Source organism: Homo sapiens, chromosome 4 (assembly GCF_000001405.40).
Source record: "Homo sapiens chromosome 4, GRCh38.p14 Primary Assembly".
NCBI lineage: Eukaryota > Metazoa > Chordata > Mammalia > Primates > Hominidae > Homo > Homo sapiens.
Window position 1 is genome coordinate 168291563 of NC_000004.12, and position 15975 is coordinate 168307537.

Below are 15975 nucleotides of genomic sequence, written 5' to 3' on the forward strand. Positions count from 1 at the left end.
ATGCTATTTGTTAGTTCTCCTAAACATAGATGCTGAAATTGGAAAGTGACTGATGTAGCCCATTAAACTTTTATAGCCCCCAAGGGGCTAATAGTAGTCCCACATAAGAGAATTTTGAAAGTTATTGTAGTTTCTATCAAACATTCAAAACACAAAAATAGTAAACTAATAAAGAGTACATTTACCATTTGTAATAAAGGCTTCATGTCCTCAGCCCAATGGGAAGTGATGACTCTAGCACAAGCTCTTTGAGAAAGAGGCAGATGGAGTAGAAAAACCACAGTGAGACAATGCAGTTTACACAAATCTTCCATCTCCTGCAGGGTTAAGCAATTACTGTTCACCTGAATAAAATAAAGAAGGTATAAGCCAGAGAACAGCAGGGTGTGACATTGCATAATAAGCATCTAGGACCACAAAAGCTGACAGCTACCTTTGCTGTTCAGGAATCATGAATTATTCCTTTCTTTCTTTCTTTCTTTCTTTCTTTTTTTTTTTTTTTTTGAGACAGAGTTTTGCTCTTTCACCCAGGCTGGAGTGAAGTGGCCCAATCTCAGCTCACAGCAACCTCCAACCCAAGGTTCAAGTGATTCTCCTGCCTCAGCCTCCCGAGTAGCTGGGATTATAGATACCTGCCACCATGCCCAGCTAATTTTTGTATTTTTAGTAGAGGCACTGTTTCACCATGGCCAGGCTGGTCTCGAACTCCTGACCTCAGGTAACCCACCTGCCTCGGCCTCCCAAAGTGCTAGGATTACTCGTGTGAGACACCATGCCCAGCTGAATTATTACATTTTTCATTCTACATTTTTTAAGACTTTCCTTTTCTTTATAACATAAACTCTACTGCATTTATACAGATGTGAGGTAAGTGGAATGGGAAGCTGCTGGCTTAATCGCATTTAAAATAAAACATTTTTCAGGATTTTTAGTTAAGCCAAACTCTACATGAGCTGATCGAGCAACTAATAAAGTCGTAATTTCACAGGACTCTACGCTGATGGAGCCACACATTAAATGCTCTATCCCATCCAAGGCATCATATTTTTAAATAATATTGAAAATTACCAGGGCGAGGACACCAGGATGGTAATATATCTGAAAAACCTGCCCTGTGAGAACACGGGTAAAGAAGTGGACACATCTGATATCATGGGACAAGAACGTCATAGCTATCTTCAAACATTTGCAGGGCTATCAACAAAGCAAGTGTAAGATTTCATCAGGGCACCTCCAGAAGGCCAAATAGAGTCTAATCATTAGAAATTCCAGAGAGGCAGATTTGACTTAGTATCATTTTTGTGAGAATGATTTAAAATACTATGTCTAGTTATGAAGAAATGTTTCACTAAAAATATATTCAATCTGATAATTGGAAAAACAATTATAAGGATGCTAAGTAAAAGATAATGAGCCCTGAATATTTCTGAAATGTTCAGAAACTTCATTTCTCTTTAATAGAAACCTTCAGCCAAGAATCCCCCAGTAGGTAGATTGTATACAGAATAGTATGTATACACATGCGTCTGAGTGTGTAAGTGTGTGTGTGTATGTGTAAACACGCACACCCATAAGCACATATACTTAGAGACAACTGTATATTGGGGGAAGGAAAACAGACTGGCCAACAGATTCTTAATGGACCCTACTGGCCATAAAGAAAGTTAAAAACTTTAGTATCTCTCCAGCTAGGATGACGCCAAGACACTACAGCAGGAAGGTTCTTTCAAAAGACACTTTGATATTGTGGAACTTGCACAAGATGGACCGGAGTTCAATCCACCTTGCTATTTAGTACGTTTGGTTTGAAAAATGTTACCTGGACTATTTGAACTTCAGTGTTCTCATAGGTGAAATGGGAATACTAATGCCTTTCTCACAATGCTGTTGTGAGGATTTAAGGGCACAATGCATACAAAAAGCCCAAAACATACTAGCATATTAGGCCTCCACCAAGTGCTAATATCCTGTCTTGTTTCATTTTCTTTTGGATGATTTAGACTAAATATATACTAAGTGAAACATGCACATAGTAAAACATTAAATCATTTAATGGCACAATAAGTGTTTCCTGATAGACACAAATTTCAGTTTTATTTTCTGAAGTTTATATAAATAAGAGAAAAACATGAAGTACCAAATAGAGGAAATGAAAGATACAAATCAACAAAATTTCAAATGTGGAGAGAAATAGTATTTCTCAGTAAAGTTATAAAAACCACACCTGTTGGATCTCAGTTTCCTGACCAGAGGAGGGCTCTCTGTTTCCTAAAAAGCGATGGTACATTCTCAAAGATAATGAGCATGAAGTAACACAAAAGACACGCCGAATGTCAGATCCTTCTGGCCAGACTTGTGTAAGCAGAGATACAGTCTTGTGTGCCTGTCAAAGAAAAAAATTGTAATGTGTCATGCTATTTAGAAAAATATTTTTATTTGTAAGTGATCTTACTAGTGGGTACTACTAGGCTTAATACATGTGTGACAAAATAATCTGTACAACAAACCCCCGTGACACAAGTTTACCTCCATAAAAAACCTACACATATACCCCTGAACTTAAAGTTAAAAAAATGAAATAATAAAATTTTTCTGAGACGAAAGGAAACCTGTGTACATAGAATAAAAGAGCTCACTGTATAACAAGAGAAACAATGAAATGAAATTAGATCCTCACACCATATGCAAAAAGCAACTCAAAATGGATTAAAGACTTACATACAAGACTTGAAAGTGTAAAACTACTAGAAGAAAACATAGGAGGAAAGCTCCACAACATTGGTCTGGGCAATGATATTTTGGATACGGCCACAAAAGCACAGGCAACAAAAGCAAAAATAGCCAAATGGGATGGCATCAAAGTAAACATCTTCTGCACAGCAAATGAAAGAGGCAGTCCACAGATTTTGCAAACGATACATTTATTTATTTATTTATTTATTTATTTATTTATTTAGAGACAGGGTCTCACTCTATCACCCAGACTGGAGTGCAGTGGCCCAATCTCAGCTCATTGCAATCTCTGCCTCCCAGGCTCAAGCGATTCTCTTGCCTCAGCCTCCCAAGTAGCTAGGATTACAGGCATGTGCCACTACTGCCAGGCTAATTTTTGTATTTTTAGTAGAGATGGGATTTCACCATGTTGGCCAGGCTGGTCTCAAACTAATCACCTCAAATGATCCACCCACCTAGGCCTCCCAAAGTGCTGGGATTACAGGTATGAGCCACCGCGCCCAGCCAAACTATACATTTAATAAGGAGTTAAGATCTAAAGTATAGAAACAACTCAAACTCAATAGTAAGAAAACAAATAATCCCATTTAAAAATAGACAAACGACCTGGACAGTCATTACTAAAAACACACAAACAAACAAAAAACCCAACGGCCAATAGGTACATGAAAGATATGCTCAGCGTTAATAATTATACCAATAATTAGGCAAATGCAAATTAAAACTACAATGAGATATCACCTCACATCTGTCAGAAGGGCTTTTATCAAAAAGATGAAAGATAACAAGTGTCAGAGAGGAAGCAGAGAAAAGAGAACTCTAATACATTGTTGGTAGGAATGTAAATCAGTACAGGCATTATGTAAAACGATATGAAGCTTCCTCAAAAAACTACAATTAGAACTATCATAGGACCCAGTAATCCCATGTCTGGGTATGTATCCAAAGGAACCGAAATTAGTATGGTTAAAGCAAACTAAATATGGCTGGAGAAGGACTTCGTACTTCTATATTTGAATCCTTCTGGATGAATTGCAATGTAACTTAATAGGTAGACAAGATTGAAAACCTAGTTTAGGAGTATGTTCTTGTAACAGTCGCTGTCTTGGCCAATCCCTTACTTCAATCACTCATACACTGCTGAGCGTTCAAACTGTGTTCAAATAAGGCAAATGCAGAGTTGTACCCAATCCAGCTATTCTGTACCTCACTTCCGATTCCTGTATGTCACTTTACATTTTTTGTCTATAAGTTTGTTCAGACCATGAGGCACCCCTGGAGTCTCTCTGAATCTGCTGTGATTCTGGAGGCTGCCTGATATGTGAATCGTTCATTGCTCAATTAAACTCCTTTAAATTTAATTCAGCTGAAGTTTTTCTTTTAACAGTATTTCGAAGGTATATCTGCACTCCCATGTTCATTGACACATTGTTCACAACAATCAAGACGTGGATCAACCTAAGTGTTTATCAACAGATGAACGGACAGTGAAAATGAGGTATATATACACAATGGAATACTATTGAGCATTTAAAACGGGGGGAAATCCTGTCATTTTCAACAACATGAATGAATCTGGAGGATATTATGCTAGGTGAAATAAGCCAAGACAAAGAGACAAATACCAAATGATCTCACTTATATGTAGAATCTAACGAAGTTGAACTCATAGAAATAGAGAAGAGAAACTCTTCTCTTCAGAGGGTGAGGGGAGAAACGGAGACTTGCTGACCCAAGGGTACAAACTTTCAGATAAAAAAGAGGAATGGGTTTTGAGATCTATTATACAGCAGGATGACTACAACCAATAATAATGTCATATATTTCAAAATAAGTGCATAAATTTCAAATGTCTCACAATAAAAAATGATAGGTAAGCAAGGTGATGGATATGTTAATTAGCTCCATGTAATCATGTCACGTTGTATACATATATCAAAACAAAACGTTGTACTTCATAAATATATAGTTATGATGTGTCAATCAAAAATATTTTTTTAATTTAAAATTTTTAAAAAGAATAGAAACTATTTAAAAGGAACTACCTAAGGGGACAATTTTCTGAAAACAGGTTTGGGAAAGAAAAGGAAGCTTTAAAAAAGGAAGAAGTATCCTTTGGCAATTAAGTGGCGAAAGAGTAAAAGAAGACAAAGAAGAATTTGAGGGCTCTGCAAGTCAGAAGAAAAGCAGGTAATTTGAAGACCCAAAACCACTCACCCACTACCAAACAAATAAATAAACAAACTAACAAAAACCCCACTAACATGCCTGGATTCTGACAAGCTGGCAGAAAAAGATAACATTAAATTAAATTATATTAAATTAATTGGATTGGATTAAATCGAATTAAAGTATCTTGTAACAAACCTCGGTATCATTAAAATGAAAAGAAAGTACATAGAGAGCTATTACAAAAAATAATAGCAGGAAAAAAAATTCACACAAATTGTGTGAAAAATCTCATCATTATCTCCAAAAGTAGTAATAATATCAGCAATTATAAAGCAGAAGAAATCTCTAAGTCTACATTCTAAATATGGATATACTCAAACAAGCATTCGAACATACAAAAAGTGATCTTTTTTTTTTTTTTTTTGAGGCGGAGTCTCACTCTGTCACCAGGCTGCAGTACAGTGGCATGATCTGGGCCCACAGGAACCTCCACCTCCTGGGTTCGGCAATCTCAGCTCACTGCAACTGCCATCTCCAGGTTCACGCGATTCTCCTGCCTCAGCCTCCCGAGTAGCTGGGACTACAGGCATGCACCACCATGCCCGGCTAATTCTTGTATTTTTAGTAGAGACGGGGTTTCACCATGATGGTGAGAATGGTCTCAATCTCTTGACCTTGTGATTCACCTACCTTGGCCTCCCAAAGTGCTGGGATTACAGGCATAAGCCACCACGCCCAGCCAAAAAATGATCTTTATTCAGCAACTGATAAACCAAAAACAGGGCTGGAAAGAAAGAAAGAAAAAGAAAGAAAGAAAGAGAGAGAGAGACGAAAGAAAGAAAGAAAGAAAGAAAGAAAGAAAGAAAGAAAGAAAGAAAGAAAGAAAGAAAGAAAGAAAGAAAGAAAGAAAGAAAGAGAAAGAAAGAAAGAAAGAAAGACAATAAATAATTAATTCCGCAAAATAATCATAGAAAAATGCAAAGCTATGCAGAAATAAAGAATAAGTTACAAGATGCCCAAAGGAGAATAATCTCAATAAAATTTAATGAAGACAGGTAGGAAAACAACCAAATGACATAAAATAAAAACCAAAAAAGGTCAGAAAAATAATAGTGGAAATGAAAGACAGAAAAATATTTGTATCATTGCACATCTTATCAAAAACAAAACTGGGCCAGGTGCGGTGGCTCATGCCTATAATCCCAGCACTTTGGGAGGCTGGGGCCAGGAGTTCGAGACCAGCCTAGAAAACATGACAAAAGCTCATTTCTAATAAAAATTAGCCAGGTGTGGTGGCACAGGCCTGTAGTTCCAGCTACTTGGGAGGCTGAGGGGGAAGAATTGCTTGAATCAGGGAGGCAAGGAGGTTGCTGTGATCGTGTCACTGCACTCTAGCTTGGGCAATAGAACAAGACTCTGTCTCAATGAAAAATAATAAATAATAAAATAATAGTAATAATGATAATTTAATAATAAAATTAATATTTTTAAAATAATAATCCTAGAAAACCCACTATACACAATAAATGAGTGCTAATGGATACTGAGAAAAATTAAAACTTCAGAAACCAAATAGTGAAAGGTAAAATAAGGAAACAGAGAATTGAGATTATTCTTTTTATAAAAATGGTACAGCATGGTAATTACAAACGTAATTACCATAACGAAACATGTAAAACAGCCCAAAGTTTAAAATTGTTTAAATAAAATAACAAAGAATACACATATCGTAAAGAAACTTAACAAACACACCAGAATACAAATGCCTATAATATATTATAGAATCAAGACCAAACGTATCAGTCATAACAGTAAATGTGAGACTTACCTATAAAAGAAAAAATAATTTCAACTTGCACCACATTCCATATATAAGACACACAACTAAAACAAAGTGATTCAGAAATACTAAAAATAAAGGAATGGACATAATTCTATCAGGTAAATGGAAACTAAAAGAGAGCAGAAGTTAGTATCTTTATATTGGGCTAAGTAGAATTCAAACTCAAAAGCATTACATGTGAAAAAGAAAAGCAGTCTTTTATTCTAAAAGCCACAATCTATAATGAAAAGATAATCCTTATGAAAAATTATCCAACATATGCATGGCAACCAACTTTGTGAAACAAAAATGACAAAAGATAAAAGAAACTCTATAGAGAAACTCACCTATAGTAACAAATTTTAAAACACAAGAGAGACAGCTGGACAAAAAAATAAGTTAAGGGATAAAAGACAAACCACCATAATCAACAGAGTAGACCTTATGAATCAAACTACATTGTGGTGATAGGGAATCTTCATTTGTCTTAAATGTCCCCAGCACATCCATAAAAATTAACTATATGTTAACATCTTCATAATACAATAAAGGTAGTGGAAAAAAAAAAGAAATTTTAAAAATCATGAACGTAGCCGGGCACGGTGGCTCATGCCTGTAATCCCAGCACGTTGGGAGGCCAAGGAGGGCAGATCATGAGGTCAAGAGATTGAAACCATCCTGGCCAACTTGGTGAAATCCCGTCTCTACTAAAAATACAAAAATTAGCTGGGCTTGGTGGCATGAGCCTGTAGTCCCAGCTACTCGGAAGGCTGAGGCAGGAGAATTGCTTGAACCCAGGAGGTGGAGGATGCAGTGAACCGAGATTGTGCCACTGCACTCTGGCCTGGCGACAGAGCGAGACTGTCTCAAAAAAAAAAAAAAAAAAAAAAAAAAATCACAAACGTGCTTTAATCTGGAACTTAAAAACATTTCTATTCGGTCAAACTTGGGTGAAAGGAAATACAAACTAAAATTACAGAATTTATTTTTTTAATGACAAAAAATTTACAGCATAATCTATGGGCTATATTTAAAGCAGTGATTCAGAGGAAAGTTTATTTCACTAAATATGTTTAACAATAAAAATAAACGAATTTTAAAAATGAGTAAGTTCCCAGCCCCCCCAAAAATCTAAAAGAAACAACAACATAAAAACCAAAAAAGTAAGATGAAAGAAAGCACAAAATAAATTAAAAAATCAACAGATCTCATTAATAAATCAAAATTCTTGGTTTTAAATAACTTAAAAACAGACAAACCACTAGCTAACCTGATCATAAAAAAAAACCAAGAGAATTCACAAATACACAAAATAAAAACTAAAAGGGAAAGTAATTAATGAAACAAGATAAATTAAATCACAAAAGCCTACTTCACAAAGTTCTATGCAAATAGACTTGAAAACTTAAGTGAAATAGATAATTTTCACAGAAGAATAAATTACTAAATTTGACCCCATTAGAGTTAACAAGCCCAAAGAAGTCAATTGCCATGGAAGAAATACAGAAAATTAAGAAACTACCTCACAAAAAAGCACCAGGACTATATGGCTTCACAGGAGATTTCTATCAAATCTTCAAAGACTAGATAATCCCAATGATCTACACATTATTTCACAATATTGAAAAAGAGGAGAAGACATTCTAATCTTTTTTATGAAGAACATACCACACTGACATCTAACCAGATAAAGGCAATTCAAAGAAACAAAATTACAGAAATATCATTCATGCATACTGATGCAAAAATTCTAAACAAAATGTTAGTAAACAGAATCCAACACCATATTAAGAAGTAATAAACTATGACTAAGTTGGATTTATTCCAGTAATATAGAGTTGCTTCAATACAGGGAAAATCATTAATACAATACTAATAAAACTGAGGAGGAAAAATTGTGTAATTATATCCATAATTTTAGTAAACATTCATGCATTCATGATAAAAACACTCAAGCAAATAGAAGCTACGGCTGGGTGCGGTGGCTCACACCTGTAATCCCAACACTTTGGGAGGTCGAGGTGGGCAGATCACGAGTTCAGTAGTTCAAGACCAGCCTGGCCAACATGGTGAAACCCTGTCTCTACTAAAAATACAGAAATTAGCCGGGCATGGTGGCGGGCACCTGTAGTTCCAGTTACTTGGGAGGCTGAGGCAGAAGAAGTGCTTGAACCTGGGAGGTGGATGTTGCAATGAGCCGAGATCATGCCACTGCACTCCAACCTGGGGGACGAATTGAGACTCTGTCTCAAAAAAAAAAGAAGCTACGATCTATGTGTTTAACACCAGAATGTGTGTGTGTGTGTGTGTGTGTGTGTGTAGTGGAAGTGTTTCCTATACCTTTCACATACCTTTCAAAATGAACGTAATTAAAAACAACCAGGAAATAGGTGGGAGGGACCAAGATGAAATACAAACACTAACCAATGACTGTAACTGTATTACATAATAAAGGATAACATAACCACACCAAAGGAGGTGGGTGAGAAAGTCACTAGCCTGAATAACTTTGGAAACAGTATATTAACATATTCTATGGCTACAGTTAAAAAAGAACTGCACATAAATCTTATAATCTCATTGACTTTTTCTCACAGGTATGGTTAGCAATTACAAAATTACTATACGGAGGGAAATAATAGTCACGGGGGCTCCAAAACAGGGTGAGTCAGGGGGAGTGATGGTTGAAGAGTTACCTGCTGAGTACAACATTGGGTGATGGGTACACTAGAAAACCAAACTTCAACATTATGCAACATATTCATGTAACAAACCTGCATATGTATTCCCTGAATCTATAAAAATCAAAATAAATAAAATAAAATAACTTTCTGTGTATATAAAAATTGAACAAAAAAGTGAATATATTGTAGATAACGAAAGCTGGATTTCTCATGATTGAAGAGAGAAATTAAAAATAAAGAAAGGGGAGGGGTAAAATAAACCATTATGGATTTGGATCCTAGTTCAATTTGCTGAAAAGCCCTAGTAGCAATGACACCCCAGTAGCAGTTCACCAACAAAGTTTTCAGATCTGAACTTCTAAATGCCTTCTTCCTTGGCAAAGTAGTTAATTTCAGGGGTGGGGCAGGGAAAATACAAGATGAGACTGGACCATCTTGTGATTTCAGAAAGTTAGAAAGTACAGAAAGATGAGGGCTTGTAAAAGAACACAAGCGCCAACCTAAAGGGGCTTCTAATGTTCAAACCTGGAACATTTTGAGCTCCAAGATAATTATAATGTTGGATTTTAACCTGTAATATAAAATAAATATATTTATCCATACTGACATAAATAAACAAATAAATGGCAGCACTAGGACAGCTGTCCCTTACGGTGGAATTCCAAGGAAAGAGTGAAATAAAAGTCACCATTAGGCAAAAACATCAATAATTATTGTTGCAGACAAGATCCACTGTGGACATTAAAGTGAATCAACTAAAGTTTGAGAAGAAACAGGATCTGCATAGTCACAAAGCATGTCCTTCAAGATTTATTAACTACAAAGGGAAGATAGTAACTTCACAGTAGAGAAAACTGTCAGGCACCAACTTAACTAATGCTCAGACATATTGTTAGGATGTACTGAGGACCCAAGATTAATTCAGTGACATTCTGGCCAAAGATGTATAACCTCATTACTGATTCGCAGTCTTCAAAAATGTCAAGGTCATGAAAGACAAGAAAAGACTGAGAAACTGTTACAGACTGGGGGACACTCAAAAGTGTGACTGACAACTGAATGGATGTGGTATCCTGGACTGGATCCTGAAATAGCAAAGAGACATGAGTGGAAAAGTCAGTGTAATTGGAATAAGGTCTAAAGTTTAGTTAATAGGATTGACACAATGTTAATTTCCTGGTTTTCATAAATGTTCCGTGGTTATTTAAGATGTTAACATTAGGAGAAGCTGGATGAGAAGTACATGAGAACTCTGTATGATTTTTGCAACTTTTCTATAACTAAAAACTTAGTTCAAATACAAAGCTTTTTAAAATGTTTTGTTACCTCTTCCGTAATATTATTCCATTTTAAACTTCCAAAAAGAGGTGCTAATGCTGAAAGCTTAAATCTTTCCAACTGGTTAAGCAGGGTTGTATAAGCATCTTTAATGTTCTGCTTATTCTGTAAAATAAAGAAAAATCAGAAAAGTTGTTATAAATAAAATATGTAATTATTTTCCAACTATAGAAAATTACATATTTTAGATATAATTATGTTACGATATATTTCTAAGGAAAAAAATATGCCAATGTAATTGTAAGTTTTAAACCCCATTGAACATCACTATTTTGTCTTTGAAAGTTAATTTTTGCCTAGGAATATAGCGTATTTTGTTTTTTAACAGCTTCATAAAAGTATAATTAACATAACATAAAATTCCTTCATTTTGTTACAATTCAATGGCTGTTAGTAAATTTATCAACTTTGGAACCAATATCACAATCTAATTTTAGAACACTTCCAGCACCCTCCAAAACACCGTCATCCCCATTTAATGCCATATATTTTAACAAATTTCAAACATACACATGAATGAAAGATAGCATAACCCCCCTTTCAGGTACCTATCACCCAGCAGCAGCCATTTTAAATATGCATTGTATTTTCAATTGTATTTCACATAATCCTCAAATTGACTAATAACATAACTTCTTTAAGGTGAATATTCAACAAATTAGGAAATAGATTTTAACAAAAATAAAATCCTTCATTAAAAAAATTATTCAGCCGGGCTCGGTGGCTCACACCTGTAATCCTAGCACTTTGGGAGGCAGAGGCAGGCAGATCACGAGGTCAGGAGATCGAGACCATCCTGGCTAACACGGTGAAACCCCATCTCTACTAAAAATGCAAAAAATTAGCCGGGCATGGTGGCAGGTGCCTGTAGTCCCAGCTGCTCAGGAGGCTGAGGTAGGAGAATGGCGAGAACCCGGGAGGCGGAGCTTGCAGTGAGCTGAGATCACACCACTGCACTCCAGCCTGGGCGACAGAGCGAGACTCTGTCTCCAAAAAAAAAAAAAAATACTCTTAAGGAAAGATTCGACAGTGTGTAGGTACTGTTAAAACTCAGATTTAGAAATTGCTCTAACAGAGTAAAATGAGAAAATTAATAACAGTACTTCCTTCCAATATAAAAATGAATCCCAGGGCTATTCCTGCTCAGAGTAGGCAACCAGAATTGAAAATAGTTTAATAATAGTCAAGAGCCACATAACAATGTTTCTTTCAGCCACAGACCACTTATATGTTGGTGATCCCATAAGATTATAATGGAGCTGAAAAATTTCTACTGCCTAGTGATGTCATAGTGATGTCATAACACCACAGTGCAATGCACTACTCAAGTGTTCATGAGGCTGGTGTAAACACACTTACTGTGCTGCCAGGCATATAAAAGTACAGCATAGGCTGGGCGTGGTGGCTCACGTCTGTAATCCCAGCACTTTGGGAGGCCAAGACGGGCAGATCATGAGGTCAGGAGTTCGAGACCAGACTGGCCAACATAGTGAAACCCCGTCTCTACTAAAAACACAAAAATTGGCCCAGCATGGTGGTGCATGCCTGTAGTCTCAGCTACTTGGGAGGCTGAGGCAGGAGAATCGCTCAAACCCAGGAGGCAGAGGTTGTGGTGAGCTGAGATCGCACCACAGCACTCCAGCCTGGGCAACAGAGCAAGGCTCTGTCTCCAAAAAAACAACAATAAAAAAAGTACAGCATATACAATTATGTACAGTATATAATACTTGATCATGATAAAAATGACTGCTACTGACTTATGACTTACTGTACTATGCGAATTTTTTATTATTATTTCAGAGTATACTCTTTTCACTTGTATTTTTAAAACAGCTGCCAAACAGCCTCAGGAGGCCCTTAAGGAGCTATTCCAGAAGAAGGCATTGTTATCATAGAAGATGACAGCTCCATGTGTGTTACTGCCCCTGAAGACTTTCCAGTGGGACAAGATCTGGAGGTGGAAGACAGTTGATGTTGATGATCCTGACCCTGTGTATGCCTAGGCTAATGTGTGTGTTTGCATCTTTTTTTCTTTTAAGAAAAAAGCTTAAAAAGTACATATTTTAACAGAAAAAAAGCTGACAGAATAATGATAAAAAGAAAGAAAGGCCAGGCACAGTGATTCACACTTGTAATCTCAGCATTTTGGGAGGCTGAGGCAGTCAGATTGGTTGAGCCCCAGAGCTTGAGACCAGCCTGGGCAACATGGCAAAACCTTGTCTCTACAAAAAATACAAAAATTAGCTAGGCATGGTGGTGCGCACCTGTAATCCCAGCCACTCGACAGGCTGAGGCGGCAGGATCACTTGAGCCCGAGACGTGGAAGCTGCAGTGAGCTGTGATCACATCACTGCACTCCAGCCTGAGTGACAGAGTGAAGACACTGTCTCAAGAAAAATAAAGAAGGAAAATATTTTTGTACAGTTGTATAATGTGTTTGTACAGCTGTCAAAAAAATTTTGAAAATTAAAATTCACAAAATAAAAAATTACAGTAAGCTAATGTTAAGGTATTAAATAAAAAAGTATTTTTAAATAAATTTAATGTAGCCAAAGTGAATACTGTATATATTAATAACATCTACAGTGGTGTACAGTAATGTCCTAAGCCTTCACATTCACTCGTCAGTCACTCACTGACTCACCCAGGGCAACTTCTGGTCCTGCAAGCTCCATTCATGGTAAGTACCCTATACAAGTGTATCATTTTTAATCTTTTATACCATTTTCAAATGTACCTTTTCTATGTTTAGATATGCTTAGATACACAAATAATTATCATTGTGTTACAATTACCTAGAGTACTCAATACAGTAACATGCTGTATAGGTTTAGCCTAGGAACAGTAGGCTACATCAGATAGCCTAAGGGTGTCATAGGCTATACCATCTAGCTTTGTGTCTGTACACTAACGATGTTTACACAACAGTGAAATCGTCTAATGATGCATTTCTTGGAATGTATCCATGTGATGCATGACTGTACTAACTAAAGCAATACAAACTAGCTTATTTTATGGCAACCATGTGGATATTTCCAAATACATGAGGAGTATGACATAATTCTCAAACAGTGACAAATGTTAATTGTCTCAAAAATGATTTTGATGAATTAAAGAATGGCCCTCATATTCACAATTCACCATCAGTAGTGAAAAATAAGCAGAAACTGGATGTATTTATAATTTTATAAATAAATTTAGTAATTTATAAATAGCTATATTATTTAATGTACTAATTTTATTAATTTACTATATGGTACCGTATTGTCTTATTTATAATTTATTATGTAAATAAATTTATTATAATTTCTATTATATATTATATTATTATAGCTATCATTTATTTTATACATATAGTAATTTATAAATATATCCGTATGCATATTTACTCCCAAAATTTCAATACAATAATTGTCAAATATACTAATGTATCAAAATAATAACATCATGGAATTCGAACTCTAAGAACTTTGAAAATTCTCCTATTGATTACTTAATAATAAGAAATAAGCTTATTTCAGTTATTTTCCTTCTTTATTGACCTTCTCCATTGTTTTCTTATTAAAGGCTACCATATTAATAGCATTTTGTCAATATGTCTCAGCAACAGGGGCGTAATTTTTGCCTAATTCCATGCATTTCTGGCCTTCAATACCTTGAGGTCAACATATTATGCAGCAGTTAAGGACACAGGGGCTTGAGTCCAACTGTGTCTTTTCAAATCCATGTTCTACTATTCATTTGGTGTGTTTGGTGAGCAGATTACTGATTCTAGTATCTATTTCATCACTGTAAAATACAGACAATACTTAACACCTACCTTATAAGATTGGTTTTAAGGTTAAATAAAAATTATTCATGAGAAATACCAAGCACAATTTTATAACAATAAGTGTTTGATAAATGACTGCATTTGCATTATCATTATTTACTTAATATTATTAATTGTTATACCTATCTGTTAAGCCTCTGATAATTTCCTAGAGGAGGAGGAGAAAAAACTGAGTCAAGTAACTTAGAACATTTTGAAAATTTCTAGAAGAAATTGTCTTTTGGATGTGAATTACCTTCCAGGAAAAAATCTGGTGTCTGTACATGCTTGGAAGAAGGTATGCATAAAGGCAAAGAACATCAGATTCTTGCCCTGAGGAAAGTACAACGTTGACCTTCCTTGCCCAAGAATGAATGATTAAAAAGTTGAAAAGCTGTGTTTGTAGATCGTTCAGGCCTTCGTCTGCAACTATCAGGAAATATGGGTAACTCTCTTCCAAGAAACTTCCCCACTCTTTTGATAAGCATCTCGAAAATGTTGTTCGAACATCAATGGTGGTATTCTTCTGAAGATGAAGAATTAAAGCAGTTCTCAAAGAAAGAAGTTCAGGGAAGTTGAAATACGCATACTCGGCATCCTGTGGAGGAGGAGGTGAAGTACATTTTATTTCAAAATTATCATTTAATCATTTAGTTGGCTAACACATCATTAAAGGCACTGAAGGAATAAAATCCAACAGTTTTGTTCTGTCTGATGGTCGGGGAATAGACCCCTAAACTTTACTACCATCTTACAGATATTTGCTGAAAAAAATCACAGTTTGGATTTAAATGCATGTGTCTCCTTTAAGCAGGCACTTAATACTTGGAGCTTATCATGCTTACCCTTCCCATTTTCTAATTCTTTTCCTCTCCAATCTCATTTCAGAAAGAAAAAGAACAGAAAGCAAGTGGTAGATATAAATCATCTGCATCAGAAAGCTGAGGTGAACCATTGTGTTTTAGAGGATTGCTCCAGGTTACTGCAACCCTCCTTAAGCAACTGAGATTGTCTCGGCATAACAAAATTGGGGCAACCAACTAGATTGTAAACATTAGATCGGAAGCCTAGCTCTTTACACAAAACATGGCTGGCAAGCATTCAGCCATGTTCAGAAATGTAACAATAATTGAGACTGCAAAATGACTGAAAAGACTCACACCAAAGCTCTTTACCTTTAGGTATAGGATTAGGAAGGGTGGTAGTGGTTATGCATATCTTTATTTGAAATTGTTAAAAATTATATTAATTATATTCATAATAAAAAAGCAAACCAAAAATAGTATTATTTTGGAAATACCTCAAACAAACCATCATAAAACATTGATTATTATTGTTAGAGACTGGGTCTCACTATGTCACCCAGGCTGAAGTGCAGTGGCGTGATCATGGCTCACTGCAGTGTCAAACTCCTG

General features: G+C 35.8%; 1 protein-coding gene across 7 annotated transcripts in view; it reads right to left on the bottom strand.

The window, feature by feature from the left end:
* The window catches only part of DDX60 (DExD/H-box helicase 60), a 109686-nt gene that overhangs the window by 75269 nt on the left and 18442 nt on the right, over positions 1–15975 (bottom strand). For all 7 annotated transcript variants that reach the window (XM_024454132.2, NM_017631.6, NM_001410861.1 and 4 more), the window contains 4 exons: positions 14817–15158; positions 10738–10854; positions 2225–2383; positions 186–344 (listed from right to left, as the gene is read on the bottom strand). In XM_024454132.2, coding sequence (XP_024309900.1) covers positions 186–344; positions 2225–2383; positions 10738–10854; positions 14817–15158 — 777 coding nt within the window. The remainder of the gene's footprint in view (positions 1–185; positions 345–2224; positions 2384–10737; positions 10855–14816; positions 15159–15975) is intronic.